The sequence below is a fragment of the Homo sapiens genome, chromosome X (genome assembly GCF_000001405.40).
Source record: "Homo sapiens chromosome X, GRCh38.p14 Primary Assembly".
Lineage (NCBI taxonomy): Eukaryota > Metazoa > Chordata > Mammalia > Primates > Hominidae > Homo > Homo sapiens.
Window position 1 is genome coordinate 152,929,456 of NC_000023.11, and position 27,377 is coordinate 152,956,832.

At 48.0% G+C, this 27,377-nt stretch overlaps 1 protein-coding gene and 1 long non-coding RNA gene across 57 annotated transcripts in view, besides 2 other annotated features; one reads left to right on the top strand and one right to left on the bottom strand.

The window, feature by feature from the left end:
* The window catches only part of ZNF185 (zinc finger protein 185 with LIM domain), a 75,415-nt gene that overhangs the window by 31,389 nt on the left and 16,649 nt on the right, over positions 1-27,377 (top strand). For 23 of the 56 annotated variants that reach the window (XM_047442496.1, XM_047442501.1, XM_047442495.1 and 20 more), the window contains 4 exons: positions 2,217-2,321; positions 3,418-3,516; positions 8,619-8,708; positions 15,812-16,009. In XM_047442496.1, the coding sequence (XP_047298452.1) occupies positions 2,217-2,321; positions 3,418-3,516; positions 8,619-8,708; positions 15,812-16,009 (492 nt within the window). Of the gene's footprint in view, positions 1-2,216; positions 2,322-3,417; positions 3,517-6,962; positions 7,059-8,618; positions 8,709-12,215; positions 12,376-15,811; positions 16,010-17,467; positions 17,600-27,377 lie in introns of those variants that run through there. The other 33 variants (XM_011531195.2, XM_047442490.1, XM_047442491.1 and 30 more) reach the window with 6 other exon arrangements.
* LOC105373372 (uncharacterized) lies at positions 800-12,118 on the bottom strand. The gene is made up of 3 exons (XR_007068369.1): positions 11,966-12,118; positions 1,520-2,495; positions 800-1,431 (listed from the first exon to the last, which is right to left on the bottom strand). It is a non-coding gene; the product is annotated as an uncharacterized LOC105373372 (long non-coding RNA).
* Positions 12,011-12,060: an enhancer, noted in NCBI's record as "active region_30029". NCBI's record gives its function as "activates an Ori minimal core promoter by ATAC-STARR-seq in GM12878 lymphoblastoid cells {active_cell/tissue: GM12878}" and the evidence as "EXISTENCE:reporter gene assay evidence [ECO:0000049][PMID:35858748]".
* Positions 12,111-12,200: an enhancer, noted in NCBI's record as "active region_30030". NCBI's record gives its function as "activates an Ori minimal core promoter by ATAC-STARR-seq in GM12878 lymphoblastoid cells {active_cell/tissue: GM12878}" and the evidence as "EXISTENCE:reporter gene assay evidence [ECO:0000049][PMID:35858748]".

Genomic DNA, 27,377 nt, shown 5'->3' on the forward strand with positions numbered 1-27,377 from the left:
GAGCAGAGGCCTCTCAACAGTGTGGTGGGTGGGAGTGCTTGGGGAGGGCTTCCTGGAGGAATTGACATCCAAGATGAGTCCTGAGCGATCTCTAGGTCCCTTTACCCTCCTCCTTGGCTCCTCCCACTTTAATTCTGCCCCCAAGGCACCAAGTCCTGTCCACTTTATTTTAGAGATGTTTCCATCCCTATTGCTCTGCCCCTGGCCCAGGCCTCCACTGCTACTCACCCAGTTGTCTGCGACCGTTTCCTACTGTCCCATCCCTGGACTCCCTTCCACATCTACCTGGGTGATGTTTCCAAAGGGCAGAAGTAGTTATGCCAGCCCCCTGCAGAAAGCCCTGCAAAGCCCCTCCCACTATGCTCTGCAGCCTGAACTCAGTACCTGGCCCCACCTGCAGGCTCCTCCCTCCCTGGGCCTTTCTCTGTGCAGGCTGGAGGCTCTGCCTGAGATGCCCTTTCCCCTCTTCATCTTTCTGTTCCACCTCAAATGTCCTGTCTTCTGGGTCATGTCCTTCTCCTGAGTTTCTTCCCCAGGCAGCATCTGAGGGCTTGTCGATTCTGCATGGCAGCATCCATTCTGCATGGATGTAGATACAATCACTATGCCCATTTTACAGATTAAGAAACTGAGACCCTGAATGGTTAAGTAACTTGCTCAAGGTCACATGGTCCAGAGCAGGCAGATCCGCTCAGCCTGCCCTACTCCCACCTTCCACCTTCTGCACCATAGCTCATTGTACTAGTTGGGGCAGGGAGCAGGGGGACAGAGAGGGGTGATGGAAAGACTTGGCATTTGCTGAGTGAACTCATTTGACGAGTTTATTCGTAGGCATTGAAGTCAAAATTTCCAGGAGGGAGGTATTTTAAGGTTTGTGATTGAGGTTTGAGAGAGTGATTAGGGCTCAAGAGATTTCCACGTTATATGCAGACAGAATAGAGCTGAAATCATGAGCGTAAACTAGCTTTACATGGGGCTCATGGTGAGCCAATGGAAGCTGGGCACCGACCTCAGTATGCAGGTGGCAGCCACCTGGCCAGCCCTCCTGGGGACAGCTGGGCGAGGGCAGTCTCTTCTCGCCATGTTGAGAGTGGGCCTCCTGAGGGCCAGTTGGGAGTTAGTGGGTGTGCAGGCCAGTATAAAGGAGAGGCAGGAACAAGTGGAGATCCCTGCTTCAAGGGTGGCAGTTGACACCTTGGGAGGGGAGGAGACAGCCCAGCAAGTGGTGGAGCACGCCAAAGGGAGGAGAAAAAGGCGGAGACCAGGAAGGTGTGTGGCCAGGGAGGTAGGCAGGTGGTGTTGACAGGATCAAGGGAGGAGGGGTGGTGAGAAGGCTGGAGTGGCCCACTGGGTCAGCAGTACTGAATGGTGGTTTGAAATAATGATGGGACTGTCTCTCCTGGATTTGACAACATGGGGCTCCCTGAGGACCTGAAGGAGAACAGAAGGGGGCTTAAATTAGGAGATTAGGATCAGGGATATAGTCCAGAACTCAAATCCCAGCTACTCCTCTTATTACCTGTGAAATTTGGGGCAAATCACAGGGGCTTTGTGTGCCTCCGTTTGCTCATCTGAAAGATGGGCATGGGTGATAACAGTGCCCATATCCTGGGGTTGATTTGCAGAGTTAATGCATATAAAGTCACGAGAACAGGCTCAAATGCTCAATCAACAGTAGCTATTGCCAGGCACAGTGGCTCACACCTGTAATCCCAGCACAGTAGCTATAAAACAACAACAACAAAAAACAAAAAACAGTAGCTATTAGTAATGAAGTTTTGATAATTGGCCAATCTGTCAATCAGCAGGGTTTGTTTGTTTTTGGTTCTGTTTTTTAAGACAGCATCTTGCTGTGTGTGCCCAGGCTCAAGTGCAGTGGTGCCATCACAGCTCGCTGCAGCCTCAACCTTCCAGGTTCAACCTCCCAAGTAGCTGGGACCACAGGCACACACCACCACTCCTGACTAACTTTCAAAAATATTTTTGTGGAGATGGAGTCTAGCTGTGTTTCTCAGGCTGGTCTTGAACTCCTGGCTCAAGTGATCCTCTTGCCTCGGCCTCTCAAAATGCTGGGTTATAGGCGTGAGCCACTGCACCCGGCCCAGTAGCAGGTTTTAAGCTCCGTGGAGACAGCTGGCGTTTGAGGATGAGGTAACAGCCCACACCTGAGTGTGAATGGCTGCTGCATGGTTAACTTCCATTTCTTTCCTCCATAGGTCTTCCCCAGGCAACAAAGACAAGGAGGCCCCCTGCTCCAGAGAGCTCCAGAGGGACTTGGCTGGTGAGGAGGCTTTCAGGGCCCCCAACACAGATGCTGCAAGGTAACTCAGTGCAGGAAGCAGACACTTCATTCCCAGAACACGGAGCCCACATACACCCAGCTGAAGGACTTCCATGGCCTCCGGTGCAATGTCAATGGATGCAGCTGGGGCCAGGAAGGTCCTGTTCCCACTGTTCCCCCAGTACCTGGGGTACTGCAGGTCTTTAATGAACATCTGTTGAAAGAAAGAAAGAATGAATGAATGAGGCCTGGAGGGAGGTAGGCCCCTGCCATGATTCCTCAGGGAGCCAGTTAGAGAGCAGGACCAAACTCCAGGGCAGGCTATCCCCAGCTCCTGGCCTGTGCTGAGTTCCTTCCATTCCCCTGAAGCTTCCACACTCACTGTGCTTTTACTGCAGGACAAAGCAGCCCTGCCAATGGCCAGGGCAAAGCAAGGCCACCAAGCTGGCAGTCTGGGAGAGTCAGTGACCAAAGTATGTGGGCCCCCATAGAGCATGTAGCGGAGACTTTCAGGATGACCCGTGGACTAAGGGAGACATTGTGGCAAGGGGTGAGGGGTCCAGGACGGGAAGTTGGAGCCATAGCGGTGGATGATGAGTCCAGATGGGATGATTGTCCCCAGTCGCTGCACAGCCAGCCCACTGACCTGTCCTCCAAGCCAGACCAGTGCCAAATGTGTCTGGTGAGCAGTGGCTGCAGGCTGGGCATTTCTTCAGTGAGAACCTGGTAGCCAGTTACAGCTAAGAACCCACACACCCGTCTTCTCAGTGTGGATCCCTGGAGCCCCTAGCTGGAACCCTGAGCCCTGGAAATGAGGAAAGGAATCCCTCTATGGCTTATTACCAGACCCACATGTCTTGCCCCTTGCTCTGTTGGCAATCAGCTCCCCCCACCACCAACGAACTAACCTCCTCCTGACTTTCCACCTTGCTCCCAACCAACCCATCAGGTTTGGAAAAAATACAGAAATACTTCCTGTTAGAGTCAACTTGGGCTTGGCTCAGCTCTGGTCAGAGCAGCACAGAGTAGCAGCCAAAGGCCTGTGCTTCTGGTCTTGAGGCCCACTCTCATGGCATCTGGGTTAGATGAGATCAAAACGCAACTAGAGTCAGCAAATACTCCACTTCTCATAACAGGTCAAGTGCACAGTTGAGTGATGGCAATGTGGGATCCGGAGCCACGGGCTCCCGGCCTGAAGGCTTGGCTGCAGTAGACATCGGCTCCGAGAGAGGAAGGTGAGCTGCCCGGGGGAGGCAGGTTCTCTCATGCCCCTGGTGACAGACCAGGGTCAAGCTGCCAGGCTGCTTGGGCTGCTATGGGTGGGGCACTGGTCACTTCCTATGGCTCCTGTCTACTGCTTCTCCCACACTCCCACATTCCACCACATCCTGTGTCCTTGGGCTTTCCACTTTTTGGAATCTTGTTCATTTTTCTGATCCCTGCCACTGGCCCTCAAGCTCCTCCAGAGTAGGCACTAGGCCCACTCACAGCTGGAGGCCCAGCCCTCACATGGTGCTGGTCTTGGGCTGGTCAAATGAACGTGTAGGGAATACATGAAGGGACAAATTAATGAGTGAATGACTGAATGATGGAAGAGTCGGCACCTTCTTACTTCTTGGTTAAGCTCTGAGGACCAGCTAGGAGGCCCTTTGCTCCTGCTTTCTCCCTTCTCTCCTTTTCCTGCCCCATCCCTACCCCAGGCAGCTCTGCTCTGAGGTTCAGGGAGAGGAAAAGCGGTAGCCCTGGAGAGACCAGCGTGTCCAGCTGGGCTCTGGCTTCTTGGACCTGGAGGGAGTCAGGGGCCACTTTCTCAGGTGATTTGCAGAGTGGCAAGGTCCCTCTTGTCCCTAAGTGGTTCCAAACCAAGCCTGAATCATTCTTGGGGCAAAGGCTAGGTATGCAGATGTTGGCATAAATAGTTTAGCTCCAAACTATGCTAGAGTCCTTCTGGTTCAGAGCAGATGGCTAGGGAGGAGTGGCAAAGCCAGTGTCTGCAAAGAGCTACAACCGCAAGATATCATCTGCCTCCTGCATCCTACTGCAGTCTGGCCAAGGAGGGAATCCTGTGGGGAAGGCCCTGCTGATGCTTTCCTACTTCCCTCAGCACACCCAGGGCCCCTTTCCCTCACTAACTTCAATAGTTTGCAATTCATGCCATGGAACCAGAGCCCGAATTCTAAATCCAGGCCCACAAGTCAACACAGGAAGGGGACAGCAGGTCCTGGCCTCTGAAACCACTGTCTCCGAGCAGGTCCAAGGAGAGGCCACCAGAGACTCTGTTCTTTAAGCTGCCACTAATGGGGAGGACTCCGCTAGAGCCCTGTCCATGCAGCCTGCATCTTTTTGCCATCTGCAGAGGCATTGGAGGGATCTTTTTAAAAATAAGCTAGATCACATTTCTCCCCTGCTAAAACCTTCTAGTGGCTCTCCATTTTCCTTAGAATGAAGTCCAAACCCTTTCCCATGGCCCACTGGGTCCTGCATGGCAGAATCTTTGGCCTTCTATCCAGTCGGGGCTCCTGCTACTCTCCCCACAGTGGTGCAGCTTGACTGGCTCTGCTGATGGCTGTCGCGGAAGAGACTTCTGGTCTACTGTGATTGGGTGGCTCTGGTCTCCTCCATGTCACCCCGCCTGCTTATACACCCTCATAACATGAAGCCTGTGCTGTCCACTGTTTCCTTAAAATGAAACCAAGCCTCAAAGTTACTTGTAAAGTCATCTGAAGAATCTTCTAGATTTTCATGAATTTTAACCCAGTCTTTTACAGTTGTCTTACCTATATAGTAGTCCCTAGGTATCTGTGGGGGATTGGTTCCAGAACCTCACTCATATACCAAAATCCATGCATGTTGAAGTCCCTGATATAAAATGGTGTAGCATTTGCATGTAACCTATGCACATCCTCCTGTACCCTTTAAAGCATCTCTAGATTATTATAATACCTCATACAATGTAAGTGGTATGTAAATAGTTGTTATACTGTATTGTTTAGGGAATGATGACAGAAAAAAGCCTGTACATGGTCAGTACAGATGCAGCCATCCTATTTTAATTATTTTTCCCACATCTCATCTCATCCTCTCCTCTCCTCTCCTCTCCTTTTTCAGACAGGACCTTGCTCTGTCACCAGGGCTGGAGTGCAGTGCTGTGATCACAGCTCACAGCAGCCTCAACCTCTGGGGCTCAAGGGATCCTCCCACATCAGCCTCCCAAGTAGCTGGGACTACAGGCGTGGACCACCACGCCTGGCTAACTTTTGTATTTTTGGTAGAGACGAGGTTTTACCAGGTTGCCCAGGCTGGTTTGGAACTCCTGGGCTCAAGCAGTCCACCGACCTCAGCCTCCCAAAGTGCTGGGATTACAGGCATGAGCCACTGTACCTGGTCCCAAATATTTTCAATCTGAAGTTGGTTGAATCCACAGATGTGGAACCCACAACATAGAGGGCTGACCACACTTAGTTTGACTATAATTTTCAACAAACTCCTTTATTGTTTTTCCTTTTTTTTTTTTTTTGAGACGGACTCTTGCTCTGTCCCCCAGGCTGGAGTGCACTGGTGCGATCTCGGCTCACTGCAAGCTCCGCCTCCTGAGTTCATGCCATTGTCCTGCCTCAGCCTCCCAAGTAGCTGGGACTACAGGCGCCCGCCACCACGCCCGGCTAATTTTTTGTATTTTTTAGTAGAGACGGGGTTTCACCGTGTTAGCCAGGATGGTCTCGATCTCCTGAACTCGTGATCCACCCGCCTCAGCCTCCCAAAGTGCTGGGATTACAGGCGTGAGCCATCGCGTCCTGCCTTGTTTTTCCAAAGGAAAGGTTGTTTCTCATGGCAACAACCACTCTCCTTTTCCATTCATTTTCATGGATTTACTTAATCATCGAACTTAGTGATTCTTCTCCATTAGTGGCAGCTCAAAGAACTGAGTTGCTGCCCCAGGGGCCTTTCCTTGGATCTGCTCAGAGACATTGGTTTCAGAGGCCAGGGTCTGCTGTCCCCTTCTTGTGCAAATACAACTGGCATAAAGAGGTCTGGGACCAAACAAGAGCACCTCTTAGTGAGTGTGCTGGTTAGTGGAGGGCACAGGCTTGTATAGGCAGTGATTGTTCAGCATGCCGTGAGCATCAGTCTGCCTGGTTTACAGAGACACAGAGAATGTGACTCCACCCTGAGAAGGTTGGGTAAGACATTCCCCACTAAATCCATATTGAGTGGGTGAATACAGGTGGACTGGGAAGGTGCACTGCTTCTATAAACAGCCACTGGGCCCTGTGGTAACAGGAACACATTAGCACATGTTATGGCCCAGGCATTATTCAAAGTACTTGGCATCTATGAACTCATTTACTTTTCTCAGAATACTTACGAGACAGACATGATTAGCATCCCTATTTCATTGATGGTAAAACTGAGGCCCAGAAAAAAAGGTCAGGTAACATGCCCAATGTCACACAGCTGGGAGATAGCAAAGCCATGATTTGCAACGCCAGAGGGCAACCACTATGCCACAGAGCCCCAGGTGTCAGGCTGCCTTGAGATATAAATATTGTTCCTCAAGCATCCATTTGAGCAGCTTCTTGGTCCTCATCATCTGTGGGGGGCAGGATCCACTTTCTCGGGAGAGGGTAGACATACAGACACAAAGTCCTGAACCTGGACCAGGTCTGGCCTTCTTTCACAGGCTGTGTGCAGCTGCTAGCTTTGCCTCTTTCCTGGAAGACCAGGATGGGCACAGTGCCAACTCTCAGTCCTGCAAGCCTAGACCAGCAGCCATCAGGTAAGGTTAGGGCCACTGCCCTAGTGCCCTATCCCATTGCCAGACACAGCCTTTGGGGCCCAGCCTCAGCTGCAGCACCCCAGGATCCCCCTCGAACTTCTCAGCTCCATGCCACTTTCACATCAGGTGATCACAGCAAGACAGGGAACTCCAGGGGGAGCTCTGACCAGGGGCAGTGGAAGAAGAGGGATGGGTGATATGTCTGCTCACCCAGAGAGCCCAGCACCAACCTACATGGACCCAAGCTGAGGTGGCAGAGAGGAGGGCATCTGAAGGCAGAGCCTGGGAAGAGATCCTGCTAGGAGGTCTCAGAGAACCTCTGCTGTAGGGACTACAGCCAGGTTTAGCAAGCAGGAGTCAGGGAGAAGATTCCCAGGGGCAGCCAGCATTAGAGGGCTCAGTTCCCAGGAGCACAGGACCGGTGGCTGGGATGGGCAAAAATGGCTCCTGGGGCACAAAGGTACAATGGGAAGAAGCTGTGCATTCCCATGCTGTAAGCGTCTGCCCTGTTTCACCCACCAATCCACCAGTGGGCATGGCCACTTTGCTGTGGGTGTGTGGAGCATTTGGCAAGTCCTAGTAAGGAACGATCTTTCTTAACTCCCATAAACCCTACAGAGGTGTAGGTCAGGTAAGGATACGTCATGCTCAGGGTCAGGTTCCAGCCGCAGCTGAGGGCTAAGGGGAATGGGTGGACGTGGGGCAGGGAGCTGGAAGAACACTCGAGAGATAGCAGGTAAATGAGACATGGCTTTACTCAGCAGCAGCTCTCTTACACAGCTTTCTCAAACTAGCTTTCTCATTAGCAGCTTACTCTCACACCGTCTGCCCTGTCTTGGCTGCTTAGTCCGGTGGCCCCTACGCACAGCTGCGTGGCCAGCTCTCCCTTGCCTTCAGGGTCAGCAGCTTAATTCTTTCTCTCCCTGGGCACGGGCAAGCCAAGCTGTGTCCTGGCTCCCCTCTGTCCTGGCTCCCCTCTGTCCACCTGCAAAGACAGACAGCTCTTGCTCTCTCTCTTTCTCTAGGTTCCCGTGCACCCGCCATGTCAAGCTATGTTGAGCTGAGCCAAGCCCCAAGAGACATGTCCCCCATACACAGCGTCAACAGGGCAGTTATACCTTTTACAGACAATAGTGGTTTAGAGCCAAGTATGAACTTACATAAACAGGTTATATAAGAAGTGGAGGTGTGCACCTGTGCACCAGACTCATTGAGTCATGCAGGCCTGGATATCCCCCTCTGCCTATTCCTTGAACAAAGCACATCCAGGTACCTTACAGGATACTAGAACCCAAAACCAGGAGACTTCCCCAGGGAACCCAAGTTGGTCAGGGGCAGTGTTTGCTCTTGAACTCAGGTGCTAAGGCCATGTCCAAAGCTGACATGAGGTTGTCACACACAGTGGCATCGGTGCCACACTAATGCCAGGACTGAGACACCAGCCTTTACTGGAAGACACAGTTCCTCCCTTTCTGGTGAGAAGGCAGCCTGGAGGGGGAAGACCTGGGCCCCAGCCTTCTTTGGTCTGAGATCTCAGCAGGCCTGTGTTTCCTTCCTCAGCTCCAGTGCCACTTCAGTCTCTGCTGTCCCTGCTGATAGGAAGAGCAACAGCACAGCAGCCCAGGAGGATGCAAAGGCAGACCCAAAGGGGTAAGGCATGAGCAGACAGTGCTGAACTTCTGGGGTGGAGAGAGGCAGCTTGGGCTGTGTGTCCATTGGCCTTTGGCTGGGAAGGTGAGGCCAGCAAGGTTTGTGAGCTGGCCTGAGGCACATAGCAAGGGCAGAAGCCCCAACCAGAACCCTCTGGCTTCTGGGGCCAGGGAGCTTTCCACTAAACTGTTGCCTTGGCCAGGAAATACATCATAGTCAGAAAGGGTCTTTCAGTCAGCAACCACTCTGACAGCAACTGCCTTTTGCTGGAGGCTGGAGCATGCAGACAAATCAGAAACACCTCTGCCCTCCAGGAACTCTCAGGCAGGGGGTGGGCAAAGGCTGGTCCAGATTAGAGCAATACATGAGCGCTAGAGCAGGGGAAGGGGGCTTCATGGGGACTGTATGTAGCTGGATGTGGTCAGCGATGAGTGTCCTTGTTGGGGAGTGCTGGAAGAGGAGGCTCAGTGAACTAGGTAGGGCTTGATTGGCCTCTTGTACTGTGATATTGGAGTCCACTGTGTGCACAGCCCTCTACTCACAGTGTCTCATACGGTTCTCCTCACAGTCTCTCAAAGGTTTATGCCTAATTACAACAAAACCCAAAAGCCTGGAGCCTAGGTCTCTGTGCCTCCTGGGAAGGATAGTGCTCCGAAGAAAACAGCCGCAGCTGAGATAGAGTGATGGCAGTGAGGAGGGTACTACTTAGGTGGGTGGAAAAGGCAACTCAGGCGATCTCCTCTAAAGAGGAGAAGGAGCCAACTCTAGAAAGAACACGGTGGAGAGAGCTATAGATAAGGAACCACAAACCAACTAACCCTGAGGTGGGAACATGCTTAGCATGTTCCAAAGGACAGAGTGGCTGGAGCTTGGCCAGTGAGGAGGGCCACAGATGGAGCAGGGCCTTGGTAAGCCATGGTTAAGAGATTGGATCTTATTTCAAGTTTTAAGCCAAAGGGGAGTCTCATGTGATTTAGGTGTTTAAAAGGTGAATGCATGTTTGCATTTTCATACCACATTGCTGTTGCTTTTTTACTTAAACCAAGATGCTGGGGGCTGGGGTGGGCAATGGATATCTAAGGTATGAGGCCTTATTGTGTTTCTTTTCTCATTCGAATTGCACTGACAATTAACAATCAGAGTGAAAACAACAGCTGACACCAATACTGTGCTGTGCTAGGTGCCTTACAGCCTTCCCAGCAACTTGTGAGATGGGTAAGGTGGGAAACTGAAGCATAGAAAGATTAAGTGACTTAGCCAAGGCCTTACAAGTGGCAGAACTGAGTTCCAAGGGAAGAGGCTCTAAGAAAATCCTCAGGAGAAACTACGAAAAACTAGTTTATGAAATCTTGTCTTTGGAGCCTAGTCTCAAGACCCAGAATCAGTAACTTACAGCTGGTTAACATGGTTAACATGCTGTGTGATCTCACCTTAATTTTCCCCAAACGTGGAAAAGGATAAGGCTTCTTATTATGCAACTTGACAGAGGAGAAAATTGAGGGACTCACTCCTGTAATGAACACACTTAGGAACAGAGCCCAGATCCAGCCAACTCTAGAGCCAGGCTCACGCTACTTTCCTCTGATGTTTAAACGTCTGCAAAATCAGAGGTGTTTTTTTTTTTTTTTTTTTTTTTTGAGACAGAGTTTTGCTTTGTCGCCCCAGCTGGGGTGCAGTGGCGCAATCTCGACTCACTGCAACCTCTGCCTCCTGGGTTCAAACGATTCTCCTGCCTCAGCCTCCTAAGTAGCTGGGATTACAGGCACATGCCACCACGCCCAGCTAATTTTTATATTTTTACTAGGGATAGGGTTTCACTGTGTTGGCCAGGCTGGTCTCAAACTCCTGACATCAAGCCATCCACCCATCTTGGCCTCCCAAATTGCTGGGATTACAGGCGTGAGCCACTGTGCCTGGCCAATACAAACTTTCTTGATTACAGTGTTTCACAACTCTGGCTGTACTTGAGAATCACCTAGGAAGTACTGAAATACACTGTTGATGAAAAAGGCCATACTCTGTAAAATATTTGAAGAAATTCTGAGCCAAATGTTAGGACTATGACCCGTGACACAGCCTCAGGAGGTCCTGAGAGCATGTGCCCAGGGTGGTTCACTTACAGCTTGGTTTTTTATGTTCTAGGGAGACATAAGACATCAATCAATACATGTGAGGTATACATTAGTTAGGTCCAGAAAGGCCTAGGTATACATTAGTTAGGTCCAGAAAGGCCGGACACCTCAAAGCTGGGAGTGTGGTGGGGGTGGGGGTGGGGGTGGGGTTCCAGGTCATAGGTGGATTCAGAGATTTTCTGATTGGCAATTGGTTGAAAGAGTTGTTATTCTCTAAAGACCTGGAATCAATAGAAAGGAGTGCCTGGGTTAAGATAAGGGGTTGTGGAGACCAGAGTTCTTATATAGGTGAAGTCTCATAAGTGGCCGCCCTTAGAAGCAATAGATGGCCAATGTTTCTTATTCAGACCTTTAAAAGGTGCTAGACTCTCAGATCAGAAAAAGTCCTGGAAAGGGAAGGAGATTCTCTACAGAATGTAAATTTCCCCCAGGAGAGACAGCTTTGCCAGGTCATTTCAAAATATGTCAAAAAATATATTTTGGTGTAAAATACTTCAATTTCTTTCATTACCTGCTGTCTGTCATGTGATGCTATACTAGAGTCAGGTTGGAATTTGGCATATTATTGCTTCAAGGAGTCTGTTTTGTCAGTCTGAATATCTCTCTCAATGTTAATACTGGTCAGTTGGGCATGAATTCCAAAGGGAGGAGAATATATTGAGGCATGTCTGACCTTCCCCTTTCTCATCATGACCTGAACTAGTTTTTCACGTTGTGTCCCCTTGGCTGAGAGAAGTGTCCATTCATTCAGCTGGGGAGCTTAGAATTTTATTTTTGGTTTACAACACAACAAAAACTTCCCGAAGTCCCAGGTAGAGATTTGGATTTTATTTTTCTGGGGTGGGTCTCCATCATGTGTCTTTTTCAAAGCTCCCCAGTTTGTTCTCCTTCCAGGCTAGGTCGAGAACCATCGTTCTCAGGTAGTGGTTCTGACCCAGGGGCATCTCCCAAAGCTTCCAGCCTGCTACGATACAATGTCTGGAGCCATTTTTGGTTGTCAAAACTGGGAGTGGGAGACACTACTGGCTTCTTATATGCAGAGATCTGGGATGCTGCCCCACATCCCCCAACACACACCATAGAATTATGGGGTTCAAAATGGTAATAGTGCTAAGGTTGACAAACCTTGCTGTAGAGCCTTGACGATCTATTTGGGAAGACAGCAGGGACGGAAAAGAAAAAGGGATGGCACAGAACCACACCCCTCACCTTCCCCGAAATCTGGGTAGCGGGCACAGGACGTGTGCGCCTGCGCGAATGCGCGCTCGCCACCAGCGTACGCGACGCGTGCGCGCCTGTGCACCTCGGCGAGCACGCGCCCGTAGTGAGTACGCCTGCGTAGGCCGCCATTTCTTGAAGCCCCGAACTCGGTCGCAGTGCCCGCCGGGAAAATGCGACCGTCCACAAAGTGAAATGGCCGCCCGGGACGAGCTCGGCCTCGGCGGGGATTCTCTTGAGGCCATGCCCGTGCCGGCCGCCAGAGGTCGCCCGAGGATCACGAATGGGCCCGAGGAGCTGGCTGCCCCTTCCCCCGCGTAAGGTCTGAAGCCGCGGCCAGAGTGGCTTTGGGGTGACCGCGCGTGGACCGTCGCCGGCGGGAGGAAGCGCGGTCCCGCGAGGGGCCGAACGGGGCCCCTGCGGCTTGAGCTTGTTTCGCAGGGAGCCCTGGGGCCATGGCCTCTGGGACACTGGACACGGGTCGTCAGGGCTGCCCAGGGGGAGGGGGTGTGGACGTGCAGACAGGGAAGGCAGCTGGACCCTCCAACCACGCTGGGCCCTCGGGCTGACCGGGGCTGGTCTGTGGGGCAGTGAGGAGGGGCTTCGTTCCCTAGGAGTTTGATGAGGGAGCGCCATGGGGGTGGCGTCATCCTGACATCCCGCAGGGCAGTGGAGCCTTACTTTCCCTAGGTTACAACACAGTTTTAACTGTCCCAAACTGTGGGGACTCCGCCCTATTCCATCTTGGGCCGCTCCATCACACTACAGGGAGAGGCGGTATAGTATAGTGGTTGAGAGCCTGGACTCTGGTGCTTTGGGTTCCAGTCCAAGCTCTGTCACTTACAAGCACCGTGACCTTGGGCATGTTACTCATCTTCTCTGTGCCTCAGGTTCCTCACGTGCGGAATAGTGGTAATCATACCTCCTACCATATAGGGTTGTTGAAATGGCCAAATCGGTTTGTATATGTAAAGCCTGTAGGACATTTAAACCTGCGAGCTAAGTGAAGCAGCACCAGAGGAATATCTCCTCCTCTCAGAGGTGTTCAGGGACACCTGGAAAGCTAACTTAACCAGCTTTATTGGTTTGATTTCATTTGACATGACACGATATCTCATCTTCTTCCTACTAAACTTTTGTCATCAAATTTTCCATCTAGAACATGCTGTTTTCCTCATTATGTTGCAAGCATGGGCTTCTCGTTTATATTTTTTCTGCATGAGGATCAGGTGAAGTTTAGGCACCACATTTCCTCACCACTGGCAACCGTTGTTGGCCAGTGGAGGCAGTACAAGGGTGGAAGTGTCAGCTGGGTGCAGTGGCTCATACCCACCTGTAATCCTATACTTTGAGAGGCCGAGGCGGGAAGACCACTTGAGTTCCGGGGATTGAGATCAGCGTGGGCAACGTAGTGAGACCTCATCTCTACAAATATTATCTATATCTATATATGTATATGTATATGTATATCATATATATGATGTATATCTCATATATATATGTTTTTGAAACAATGTTTCACTTCTGTCGCCCCAGACTGGAGTGCAATGGGGTGATCTCGGCTTACTGCAACCTCTACCTCCTGGGCTCAAGTGATTCTCCTGCCTTAACCTCCCAAGTAGCTGGGACTACAGGCACACACCACTGCACCTGGCTTATTTTTGTAGAGAGGAGTTTTTGCCATGTTGCGCAGGCTGGTCTCAAACTCCTGACCTCAACTGATCCACCCACTTCTGCCTGCCAAAGTACTGAAATTACAGGCGTGAACCACTACGCCGGGACTACAATTTCCGTTTTTTAAAAGAATGGAAGTGTGTAGATTATGGTTGTGTTAGGAGTTGACAGTGGCTGTATTAGGCTACTGGATCTTTGGTCCAATTACACTCAGAAGGAAAGGCTTCAGAGAAATTAATCCAAAATCCAAAATCCCGTTGGTCACCATCCCCTATGTTACCTTGCCTATCTCTAACCACTTGACTTCCAGGAAGTTCATGAGGAGCTCGGACAGGATAGCTGGGAAGTAATTCCCCTGGATGTTACATTGTCCAGCAGAGCTTCCTGTGAGTGTTTGCCTAAGATTTCCTTTTTATGACCCACATAGGTCATATGTCCTAAAATCACAGTGGCCCTGCCACAGGCCTAGGAAAGAAGAAGCCTTGTTCATCCATTTGTCCCTGTGTCACAATAGAGCCCAAATTTCTCTTTGTGGATAATCCTGGCTCTATCCACAGACTTGGTGAGGGCAACCTCTACTAGTGTATTTCTACAGAGGACGTGGGACAGGACGGGACTCTGATTAAATCCATAGTAAAGCTAACTCAGGGCTACCACAGTAGGGAGACAAGCTCTTCAGGCCTTGTATGTTTGTCTTTGGCTCAAGCAAGCATGTCACTGACAGAGATTGAATGGGTGTGTCAGGGCACCCTGCTGGCAACCCTGGGACTGGTGTTACCTGTGCAGACCACTTTTGGATCTGCATGGGCTGCAGCAGACCCTAAGGGTGGAAGCAGCACAGAGAAGCACAGGCCCAGTGGGATGGTTCCCCACAGTTACTGTGTGGCGTCACACTCACTTGCCTGCAGTTCTGCCTGGTGCAGCTGGAGGTGGCAATTAGCTTGTTGTGCCTGCTGGAGAATTTTAGTTCCCTTGACCTCCACCTGAGGCTGAAGAATCATGTTGCTTTCAGGGCATACTTTCCAAAAAGTGTGGCCTCTGTTGGCCTTGTTATTCCAGCTTGAAGGCAGGAAGCCTGCCTAGACAAAGTTAACTCCTATATACAAAGAGTCCCAGGGTAGTTTGTAGCGTGTTCTTGTCTCGGGGTAGCCCCCACCAGCTATTGAAGGTAGGCTGGTGATGTTGGGAAGGTTATATTCAGAGTGAGCTAGGATCGAGGTGATGGCGAAGTAGATTTTCATTCTGAAATGCTGGGCTCACTCTCTTAGTAGCCCAACTTGGTGTTTGCCCCTGGCCTAGTAGACTCTGGAAGCAGTACCTTGCACCTCGGTGTGGGGCTGGTGATGGGAGGGGTGTGGAAGTGGAGGATCAGCTAGCAGCCTCTTTCCCACGGTACCCAGATTGGAGGGTGCAGTGCAATCATGGGGTGAGGCCAGGGAGGACCCCTGAAGAGCTCGATGCCTGAGACATCTGGGGGAAGCCCTGTCCTTCTTGCTGGATTCAGGGGTGGCAAAAGCCAAAAATTGGAGGGCCAGGTGCAATGGCACATGCCTGTAATCCCTGCACTTTGGGAGGCCAAGGCAGGAGGATCGCTTGAGACCAGCCTGGGCAACATGGTGAAACCTTGTCTCTACAGAAAAAAAAAAAAATACAAAAATTAGCTGGGCGTGGTAGTGTAGACCTGTAGTCTCTGCTACTCAGAAGGCTGAGACAGGAGGATGGCTTGAGCCCAGGAGGCAGAGGTTGCAGTGAGCCGAGATGATGCCACTGCACTCCAGCCTGGGCGACAGAGTGAGACCCTGCCTCCAAACAACAACAATAAAAACATCGGAGGCTTCGGCTTCATCTATTACACATGGAGGCCTGTTCAGTGAGAAGGGAGCAGCGATGCTGGGCTCCTGCCAAGGAGGAGACTGTCTGCTCCCTGGAATTGGGGCTGTGCCTGGCTCCTTTCTGCCCCGCTTTCAGGGATATGAGTCCCTCCAAGTCCACAGGAGGTGACAGCCAGCTTGCGTCCTGGGGCTGAGGCAGGGTTAGTTTCAGAGCACTTTTTTCATAAGGGTGCTTATTCTTCTTCAGGGCCTTGGCTGATTATGAGGGGAAGGATGTGGCCACCAGGGTCGGAGAGGCCTGGCAGGAGAGGCCTGGAGCTCCAAGAGGTGGCCAAGGAGACCCAGCTGTACCCGCTCAGCAACCTGCAGATCCCAGCACCCCAGAGCGGCAGAGCAGCCCCAGCGGATCTGAGCAACTTGTCAGACGAGAGAGTTGTGGCAGCAGGTAAGGGCTGAGCTGCAGTGGGCTCTGCCTCTGGAGCCCATGTTTTTGTTGAGGTCTGCGACCCACATGGGAACCACTTCCCCACACCCTGTGCCAATACCCGACACATTGCACACCCAGGCTCCTGTTCTGTGAGTGGGTCATGGTGATTCCCTGGTCCTAGAGCAGTGTCATCAGGCTTCTTGTGGCTCAAGGAGCTGGGAGGGGACTGTGATAGGAGGATGTGTCTGTCCCCAGGTGTGAGAAGCCCTGGCTAATTCCCAATGCATGGGGCAGGAAGGAAGGCTGTCTCTCAGAGTACAGGTGCTCTACAGGTGGGGGTCCTGGGCAGAGTGAGGGCTATTTGTGTGGGTAAAATGCCATTGTCAGAGAAGGACAGAGTGTGAAAGAGCAAAAAAACAGGAGGGTAAAAGTGCAAAAGTGACAGAGTGAAGCAGAGAGAGAGAGGCCAGAGGGAGAGAAAGGGAGCATGTGTGAGCAGGCATGAGAGAGTGACACAGGATGTGACTGGCCATGTGTTGGTGTGTGCCACTGTGCATGAGCAAGAGGACAAACGTGCCTGTTACTGGAGCTGACCATGTGGCATTGGTGTGAGAGTTTCAAGTCAGGCTCTCTTGAAGGCATCTTGCCTGCCAGCGCAAACACTGCATGTCCTTGCAGCTCTGGACACGTCAACAGGCCAGTGATTCCAGGGGTGCAAAGCGAACAGTTTCTTACACAAGACAGAAATGTAGAAGGAGAGAGCTAAGACTCATATTGCCCCGAGAGAGGAGCTAGTGGAATCCAGCAGGGCATCTGCTGTGGGGAGCAGGTGGAGCCTGGGGTTCCTTTTGCAGGGATGAAAGAAACACAGTCATCTGCCTTCTTTGTTCTGGGGCTTCTTGTACCACAGAGGTTCCATAATTATTAATAGTTAGGTTATTTTTAGGGCCTAGCTCAACTGTTAGATAACAAGTTTTACCTTCTAAGAATATCTAGCCCATCTTTGATTCCTTGGCTCCAGGCCCTGGAGGGTCCCAGTCCAAAAACAGAGTGAACAACTTTGGACTTGCTGTCACATTGTGTGGCTTCTAGAACTAGTCAGTGTTCCATGCAGAAGGGGTATAAAAAGTGAGGCTTGTGGATGAAGGAGGAGGCGAGTGGTTCTGGGTTTTGTTTTCGTTTTGCGGGGGAGTGTCAGGAAAGGCTTTCTTTACAGGGAGAGTGATGTTGGAGCTGGGTTTGGAAGGCTGAGGGAGATTTTGCCAGATGTGCCAGACGTGCTTGGGAAGGCATTCCGAGTGGAGGCTCACAAAGTGTATAGGGAACATCCAGTCAGGTAGCCATCACAAAGGAGGGTTAATCCAGCCTGGCTTGGCAGGAAGCACCAAGTAGGGGCTGGGCAGGCACCTGCTCCTAGGCTGAGGAGTGTGACCCACATCCTGAGGGCCTTGGGAGCCACCGATGGTTTTCCTGCAGGAGAGTGCCACAGCCAGACTCGAGTCCAAAGAAGATCCCTCCATTGCCCTGTGGAGGACCAGGCCAGGGGAGTATACGACGAGACAAGGCAGGAGGCCATATTGGAGACTGTTTGCTTACACCAGGGGCAAGGTGATGAGGCTGCAAGTATTTTTGAATTATTAAAGGTAAAAGCGGGCTTGGCGTGGTGGCTCACACCTGTCATCCCAGCACTTTGGGAGGCCGAGGTGGCAGTATCGCTTGAGCCCAGGAGTTTGAGACTAGCCTGGGGAACACAGCAAGACCCCATTTCTACAAAAAATTTAAAAACATTAGCCAGGTGTGGTGGCACATGCCTGTAGTACCAGCTACTTGGGAGGCTGAGGTGGGAGGATTGTTTGAGCCTTGCACGTCGAGGATACAGGGAGCCATGTTCCTGCCACTGTACTCCAGCCTGGGTAACAAAACAAGATCCTGTCTCCAAAATAAAAATAAAAAAAATAAAGATAACGGTGAGGGAAAAGTGGTAGCCAAGGTTGCTCCCCAGATTTCAGGGCTAGGCAATTGGATGGGTGGTGACAGGAACTAGCTGAGGGTAAGGAGTTTGGGGGCAGGCCCGCTGAGAGATGCACAGAGATGAGAAGGTCACTGGGCCATGCCGAATGAGAAGTGCCTGTAGGGGCTCCAGCCAGTGATGTCCAGTAGGCTACTGAGTAAACAAATGTGGAGTTGAGCAAAGATCTGACCTGGGGCTAGAGAGCTGGGAGTTGTCAGCTCATAGGAAGTCACTAAAGAGAATGCATGAGGTTGCCTGGAGAATGCCTTTGGAAGGCAGTGTGTACAAAGCATGTATTCTCGGCTTTTCTCTGCAGACTTCCAGGGACAGTTGTCCAGCCAGGCCCTTGGCTGGGTGGGTGAGTCCACGTGGTTCAGGGATGCTGAGGGAAGCTGCTTCATCAGCTGACATTTCTCTCCATTTTCTGCTCTTCTTTTGTCTCAAAAAGAAAAAAAGAGGGGATATTAATTATTGATCCCCTAAAACCCTAGCTGAATATATAAAATGAAAAGAAGTAAAAATATGAGAGAAGCAAAGGCAGATGGACCATAATTTTGGAAAATAATTCCAAAAGGTCTTAAGGAGGAAGAGGAGCTACAGAGAGGTATTGAGAAGGAAAATTTTGGATAAATGGAAGAATCAGGAAAGACTACCGTCATGGAAACCAAGCCACGCTGAGCTAACTTTCCAGTGCTCTGTAGATGCTGAAATAGGCCCATCAGATTTGGCTATGTAGAACTCATGACTGCCTTGAGGGGAGTAGGTTGGGGCAGTGGGAAAGGCTGTAGTTGGATTATAATGGATTGAGGAGGGAGCGGAGGATAAGCAGGTGCAGTTGATGGGGTACACACTCTGAAACTGGCTGTGACGTGATGGATGTGGGAGGGGTGAGCAGATAATTACAGCTACAAGATAATGGGGAAGGTTTCCTATAGGTGAAAGCAACGTGTGCATGTTAGGTAAAGGCTGGGCAGAGGGTGCCTACGTGACCAGTCCCCGATAAAATCCTTGGACTCTGAGTCTCTCATGAATTGCCCTGGTCGACAGCATTTCACACTTGTTGTCACAACTCACTGCTGAGGGGAACTGAGTGAATCCTGTGTGACCCACTGGGAGAGGACTCTGGAAGCTTGTGCCCGGGTTCCCTCAGAAATTTGCCTTGTGTGCTTTTCCCTTTGCTGATTTTGCTTCGTATCTTTTCACTATAATAAACCATAGCCTTGAGTGTGATGATGTGATGTGTCCTGTGAGTTCTTCTTGTGAATCACCAAGCCTAGGGATGGTCTTGGGGACCCCTGACACAGATGGGCAGGATCAGAACTTTATGCCATAACAAGGACTTTAGATTTTCTTTCGAGGGCAAAGAGGAGCCAGGAAGGTTTGAAGCAGGGGAGTGATATGGCGAGAGTATTGCTTTGCAATGGGATCTCCAGTGGCAGTGAGAAGAGTGACTGAAGTGGGCAGAGTGGAGCAGGGAGAAGAGGAAGTGCTTACAGCATCCTCCATGTAAGAAATGATGGGGCCTGGACTAGGGGACTAGCTGTGGAGATGGAGACAGAACTGTAAAATAAGTAGAAGAGATCCCAAATTGGATGACAGGTAAGACTTGGGAGAGCAGTGACGGAGAGGGAAGTGACAATTTAGAAAGCCACATTTCTGGTCGAGTGAGTGGAGTATGTGACCCCTCCTGGCTTAGGTGGTGGCCAAAGTATCTCTAACCTGCCTCTATACTGCCTGCAACTGACTGAGCAAATGCCTGGTCCGTGGAGATCCCAAGCTGACAAGGGCACCTGAGGCAAGCCTCTGGCTTTCAGGTGGAGGCCCTACCTAGGCTGGCCTGGCTGGATTGCCCTGGCACACTGCTGTTTTGCTGAGGCAGACAGCAGCACTCTGCAAGTGCTCTTCTCCTGTTCCTCTTAGTGGTCTAAATCCTGTAGCATGCTGGGGTGCGACTGTAGACAAATCCCCTTTCCGGGCCCCCTGGGGTTCTCTATTTGCAGTCTTTGGGTCTGGTCACTGGCATGGCATCTCAGTAGGCTAGGTTCATCAGGAAGGGTCAACTATGTCATGGCACCTGATGGGCAGCATTTAGAGTCTGTGGGCCAGGGGCTTAAGGGCTGCTTACTGCTAATAGTTCTAAGTAGCAAGCATTCCCTCAGCCCTAGTCTGGGCACACGCCAGGAAGAAAGCCACTAGATGTGCTCTCCTAGTGGATAACTAGCCTGGAGTTCCAAGAAGGGCAGAGACAGGCAGAGTGAGAGCCTTCAGAGATGTAGGCAACGATAGTAGCAGAACTTCGAGGGAGAGTAGATGGAAAAATTAAAAAAAATCCTTGTCATTATTTTTAAATGTCTGAATTGACCAGATTAGAATCTTTGAGAGTCTAGACACTAGGGAGATCTCATGGGTGGGCCAGTTATTATATCATATGGAGGGAGAGTACGTATGACCCAGCACGAGAGGACCAGAGGACAGTCAGTGCTAAGGGTAAAACCTTAGGCCATGGGAGATTGAGTTTTTCATCAGTTGGCAAGTTTTCACTTTAATACTCCACTGTTTCCATCATTTCAGACGACTGGGGATGATAAGGACAATGTAATTTGGGGGATAAAGGAAGAACTCATTATATTTCTTGGATGACTTTACTGGGGAAATGGATTCCTTAGTCATTTGAAAGAAGCGGTAGAATTCCACATGTGGGGAATACTTGTTCTAACAAAAGCTTAATAACATTAGTGGCAATGATCCTTTTATATAAGGGAAAGCTTCAAGCCAGTGAGAAAAACATAAATAAACTAGTAAGAACATATTTATAACCATGAGATTTGGGTGCAGAATAAAATCAAATTGGCAGTTCAGGAAAGGTCCTAAACATCTGTATATTAACAATATTCCATCAGTGAGCAATGTGAATTTCCCATAATTGAAATGATGATTGATAACCTTGTATTGTTCTTATCTAATATAAGGCAAAGCAGCACTGGGGCTTTGATAAAGAGCAATATCTCATGTACACTGAGGACACTGAAACCCCGCTAGGAATTCTATGGAATTTCTAAAATATTTATATTAAGGACATTTTACCCATTATAGACTAATTTAGGGAAGGTTCTGCATTTTTTTTTTGATTTGACAATGTTTCCAATGCAATTTATACAATATTAAATAAGACTAATTAGTTTTTGCACCTTTCTTGTTACAAGGTGAAAGAACTAATCCTTTGAGATTTTCCAGAAGGTCCCTGGCAAATCCCAAAGCCAGTTTTAGGTATAAAATATATTTAAGTTTTGATTGTGGGAAGGCAAATGTTAAGAGTTGTCAGGAGTTCTCGAACATTTGATTGAATAGCATTATGGGTTAGCGAGAAATACTACTTGGTTAGCTAGTGAATCAGAGTTGTAAAAATTTTCAAGTAAACATATGAGGTAACATGGTTGTAAAGAATCTTCAGTTCCTTTAAAATTGAAAAGACTTTAAAAAAATAACTAAGGACATAATAAACTGAACATACAGATAGGGCATTACAGTATTTTGATAAGACATAAAATCTTTGCCTCTTAGGCAGATGACTCAGAAGAAAAACAGACCATTTATAACTTTTTATTAGGGACAGACCAATGATCAAGAATTTTTTTTTTTTTTTTTTGAGATGGAGTCTTGCTCTGTTGCCCAGGCTGGAGTGCAGTCGCGCGATCACCATGTTGGCCAGGCTGGTCTCGAACTCCTGACCTCAGGTGAACTGCCCACCTCAGCCTCCCAAAGTGCTGGGATTACAGGCGTGAGCCACTGCACCTAGCCTAAGAAAATTTTGTTATTTTAACAGAGAAACCAACATTTTAATTTTATACAAGTATAATATTTGATATTAGTTCTTTTTTGAAAATCTTATAAATACACTGAATAAAAGTTTTAACCATGACAAATAAAATTCCTTTTCTGTGAACATTTTCTAATTTTAAAGATATTTGTTTACATTTTGTCTCACACATTTTTAAATTATTTGTCATTTTAATTTGGGACAAAGCTATTCTCTTTTTCCTTAGGAAAAGCATATTTGCATACAAAGTTGTTTCCCTTTGCCATTTTTGCCATTATTACTTTTAGCAGTTTATATATATATATACACACACACTTATTTACTTATTATAATTTTAACCATTAATAACTTCTCTTTCACAGAGAAAACAGGAGGTAGGTAATTTTGAAATATCATATACCAGCATTTTGTAGCAGACTAGTAAAGCTTATGAATATACATCTCATAACTTTTTATAGTTGTTATATACTTTTTATAGTACCATTTTGCAATGTGGACAAATGAACACATTTAACAGATCCATATGTAGTCACACTGTACCATAAAAAAAGCAAAAAGTATATAAACTTAAATTTAGGTCTAGTGACTAAGTATTTTATCTTCTTTATAAATGATATTTAATGAATTTAGTTAACTTAATTCAGCATAAGTCTAAGGTTTTAAGTTACCAAAAAGATTTTAGAAACTGCCTTTAAGCTTACATATTATAAAACATAATTACTGTTGAAATAAAGTTTGCCAGAATAATGACTCAGTTTGGTTAAAAGCAAATTTAAATTTTTATAATCTTAAACATGTAGTAGATATAATACTAGCTTATTCAACATGTAAACCTGTTTAAGTTTAGGAGGAACATACCCAAGTAGAGTAAAAATATATGCTTGTATTCTGTTGTATTATATGTAATGCTGATAACTCAAAGACACATAGGTGTCTATTAAACTAACAATATTAAACTAGTTTTGTTTGCCAAAAGTTTACATAAATTCTGTGAACTTGAGTTTTAAAAGCATTTGGGTTAGTTTTTATAAGAATACTTTTTTGTTGTTTACACTGAAAGTATTAGAAGTTGTTTCCTTAATTTATGAGAGCTTTATAATAATTTATATAAGTACTTATTTATCTCTAAGTCAATTAGAATAGAGGATAAGGGATTTTGTAAATTAATTTGGTAATGCCATCTGGAGGTACTGAACTATTACACATATACAACATACATGTATACTAAACATACAGACAGACACAAATAGAGATCTAATGGCGAGCCCTCAATGGGTGCAGGGGGCCTGAAGCTCTACTGGCTATAGGCAGTTGAGAGGGCTGAGTGGGAAGGGGAAAGCCTGGTGAAGAGTAGATAGGGGTATGTAGGAGGTAGAGGCATTGAAGGGGACAGATGAAAAGATTCAGGGAGCTGAAGGGAAGGTCCAAGGTGGTGAAAAGAAGGGAAGAGGGATGCGGTAGGAAGATGAGAAGGGGGAATCTTAGATGAGCAGGTTTGGGGAGACCCCAGGTTCCCTAATAAGGTCACTGAAGTTCCAAATTACCCTTCGTGATTACTTTTTTTTTTTTTTTTTGCCAGTTTTGGAAATACTGGACAGAATGAGTGCCATAGGGGCAGGGCATGTAGTCAGCAAGGGAGGAGGAGGAGGATGAGGAGGAGGAAGGGCACCCAGTAGATTGAGAGTTACCTGTGGGAAGAGGCAGATCAAATAGAGAAAGGAGCCAGGCTGGACAGTCTCATTAGGAAGTTCTGCACACAGTCGTCATCTGGGAGCCAAAGTTTCTCTTCAGTCCTCATTGAGGAGCTGAAGGGCTTTCCTTGTGCAATCTCTAGACAAGGTGTCAAGGGAAACAATGAGGCCTCACAAAAGAGCCAGGAATTTGGAGTAAATCTCCACTCAAAAGGAACCAAGAAAACTTCTATCCAGGACGATTCTGGCTAAAATTGAAAAGGACCAGGAAGAGTCCTGCTCAACAGAGTCAGGGGTTAAATCCCCACTCAAAAAGAGCTAGGAAGAGTTCTGTCTGCGAAGATTCTTGCTCAAACAGAAAAGAACTGGGAAGAGCTCATTTAACAGAATCAAAGTAACTGAATCACAGAACCATAAAAAGTGTCCAATAAAAGCAAATACCGTCTCTGGGCAGGGTGCAATGGCTCACACCTGTAATCCCAGCACTTGAGAAGCTGAGGGAGGAAGATCACTTGAGCCCAAGGGTTCGAGACCAGCCTGGGTAACATAGCGAGACTCCTATATCTATAAAAATTTTAAAAATTAGCCAGGCATGGTGGTGTGTGCCTATAGTCCCAGCTACCTGGGAGGCTGAAGTAGTGGAGGATTGCTTGAGCCCAGGAGTTGAGGCTGCAGTGAACTATTATTGCACCACTGCACTCCAGCTTGGGTGACAGAGCGAGACCCTGTCTCAAAAACAAAAAACAAATATGGATTTAGATAGAGACTTTTATTTTATTTTATTTTATTATTTTTGAGACAGAGCCTTTCTCTGTCACCCAGGCTGGAGTGTAGGTGCCATCTCAGCTCACTGCAACCACCACCTCCCGGGTTTAAGCAATTCTCCCGCCTCAGCCTTCTGAGTAGCTGGAATTACAGGCGTGCGCCACCATGCCCAGCTAATTTTTCAATTTTTAATAGAGATGGGGTTTCGCCATGCTGGCCAGGCTGGTCTTGAACTCCTGACCCCAAGTGATTCACCCGCCTTGGCCTCTCAAAGTGCTGGGATTACAGGTGTGAGCCACCGTGCCCGACCAATACTTTATTTAAAAAGACTATTGCAATAGGGACAATGCTGCAACCTCAGGACTTGCAAACATCACAAAATAATACAAAAAACATCACAAAATAATAAAAAAAAAAAAGCCTTTTTTTTTCAGTAGGGAGTAGTAAGCACAGCTAGCAGCTCAGCTACTTTCAAGGGCCAGTGGGCAAGCAAAGGGGAACCTGTTTGGCATGATTTGACCAGAAATGTGTTTCCCTGTGGTCAGCCGGTTCTCAGGAGAAGCTGCTAAGTGGGGCATGTTCTGCATTGCAGCACTTACTTAACCAGGAGCAAGCAAAATTCAGGCCCTGTGGGGAGGACAGAAGCCTGCCTAACATTCTGTCAAGGCAAAGGAGAGGGTAAAAAGCAGACAGCTGTGAACACTTGATCATCCTTCAGGCAATAATCCATTCTGGGTTTCTGGCTTAAGACTCTTGAGAAACAAGGGGAAACAACTGGTAGGAGCAGCAGGCTCACCTATATGTAGTTCCGTGAGGTAGCCTTATGGACTTCTGCCACCTTCCAAAACTCAGCATGTCCCAAACCATCTTTATCAACACAGCTTCTCACCAAAAACAACCAAATAAAACAAATTAACTAATGTACTAATTCTGTATCTCCCCCTGTGTTGTTCATCTCAAAAAACTGTTATCACCTCATTGACTCAGACTCTCAACCAGCGAGGTAGAAGAAATGTTTGGGGGCATGTTAAATGTAACACCTATGAGACATGTAAGAGGTGAGGTGCAGGACGCAGGTACATGGTGATAAAAGAAAAACCTCAGCCGGATTAAATTTAAAGGAGTTTCATTGAGCAATGAACTATTTGTGAATCGGGCAGCCCCCAGAATCACAGCAGATTCACAGAGACTCCAGTGCAGCTACATGGTGGAAGATTTATAGATTAAAAAAAAGGTGGAGGGGGGGAAATGACGTACAGAAATTGGAAGTGAGGTACAGAACGGCTGGATTGGTTACAGGTTGGGGGTATGCCTTATTTGAACACAGTTTGAACACTCACCAGTGTATGAATGGTTGAAGTATGGCCGCTGGGATTGGCCAAGAGTTAGCTATTGTTACAGGTACACACTCCTAAGTTAGGTTTTCAATTTTGTCTGCCTCTAGGTTACAGTTTATTGACAAAGACTCAAATATAGAACTATGGAGTCCTTCTCAGGCCGTATTTAATTTGCTTTAACAATTCCCCCTTTTTGGTCATTTTCTCAACTTTGAGAGATTGACAAAAACCTTAGTTATTGATATCACTATTACCCTTGTAAATGTACTTATATGGTCTTGAAACCCACTGGGAAACAGGAGGACAGTGGGTTTTGTAAGGAGAGAATAAGGACTGAGTAGAAGGTACCTCTTTATGCTAGAATGTTCTGTTTACAGGACAAAAACAAAACCTGGTCTGTTTTAATAACTATTTGTTTCCTTAAAGTCTTAGTTTGATTATGTTACATTTAGCATGAGCAACTCCATTTTGTTTGGTTTGGTCTGTTGGGTCCTAGTGCATGAGCTCAGTACACAACAATGGCTTGCCAGAATTTTGTTTAAAAAATTCCCCTTGGCTGGGCGTGGTGGCTCATGCCTGTAATCCCAGCACTTAGGGAGGCTGAGGCGGGCAGATCACGAGCTCAGGAGATCGAGACCATCATGGCCAACATGGTGAAACCCTGTCTCTACTAAAAATACAAAAATTAGCCGGGCGCGGTGGCATGCGCCTGTAATCCCAGCTACTCGGGAGGCTGAGGCAAGAGAATCACTTGAACCTGGCAGTCAGAGGTTGCAGTGAGCCAAGATCACGCCACTGCACTCCAGCCTGGTGACAGAGCGAGACTCCACCTAAAAAAAAAAAAAAAAAATATTTCCCCTTATTGGCCAGGTTCTCACTTAGGTGAGAGTGTGACCAAAACTTAGGGCCTTAGCACCACTTTTAGTTACCTAGTTACCATCATTTTAGGTTTCCAGTCTCAGCATGTCATTCATAGGTTATGATGTCCTCATAATCATACATTTCAATCAGTTTTGTTATTCCAGTTGAAGAGAGACCATTTGACATTTCAGAGATGGCTGCATGCAAACATTTGAAACCTTTGAGAGAATACAGTGCACTGGGGAGACTACTATGACTACCAGTAGGATAATACCCAGAGTTTGAAGTATGCTGTTTACCTGAGGTCCCCATAAAACAAACTGCCTAAATTAAATAAAATAAAGAATGAGCTAGACGAAGAGTCTACTCACTTCACTAAGTGATCTTTTCATTAATCCTGTATGACTGAATTTTTATAATCTGCACTTGATATACATATTAGAATTTTAGAAACCCCATATAATTTTGGAATATATATTAATATAATTCACTAAAAATATACCCTGAAGATTAAACATTATTTTTATTGGCCAAGCGCGGTGGCTTACACCTGTAATCCCAGCACTCTCGGAGGCCGAGGCAGGCGGATAACCTGAGGTCAGGAGTTCAAGAGCAGCCTGGCCAACATGGTGAAACCCTGTCTCCACTAAAAATAGAAAAATTAGCCAGGCATGGTGGCATGCACCTGTAATCCCAGCTACTCGGGAGGCTAAGACTGGAGAATCGCCTGAACCCAGGAGGTGGAGGTTGCAGTGAGCAGAGATCATGCCATTGCACTCCAGCCTGGGCAACGAGGGCAAAACTCAGTCTCAAAACAAAACAAAACAGTATTTTTATTTTGACAATGCCTCCCATGATTTTTATACCAAATAAGCCAAATGTCACTGTTGCATTAGTGCATTAT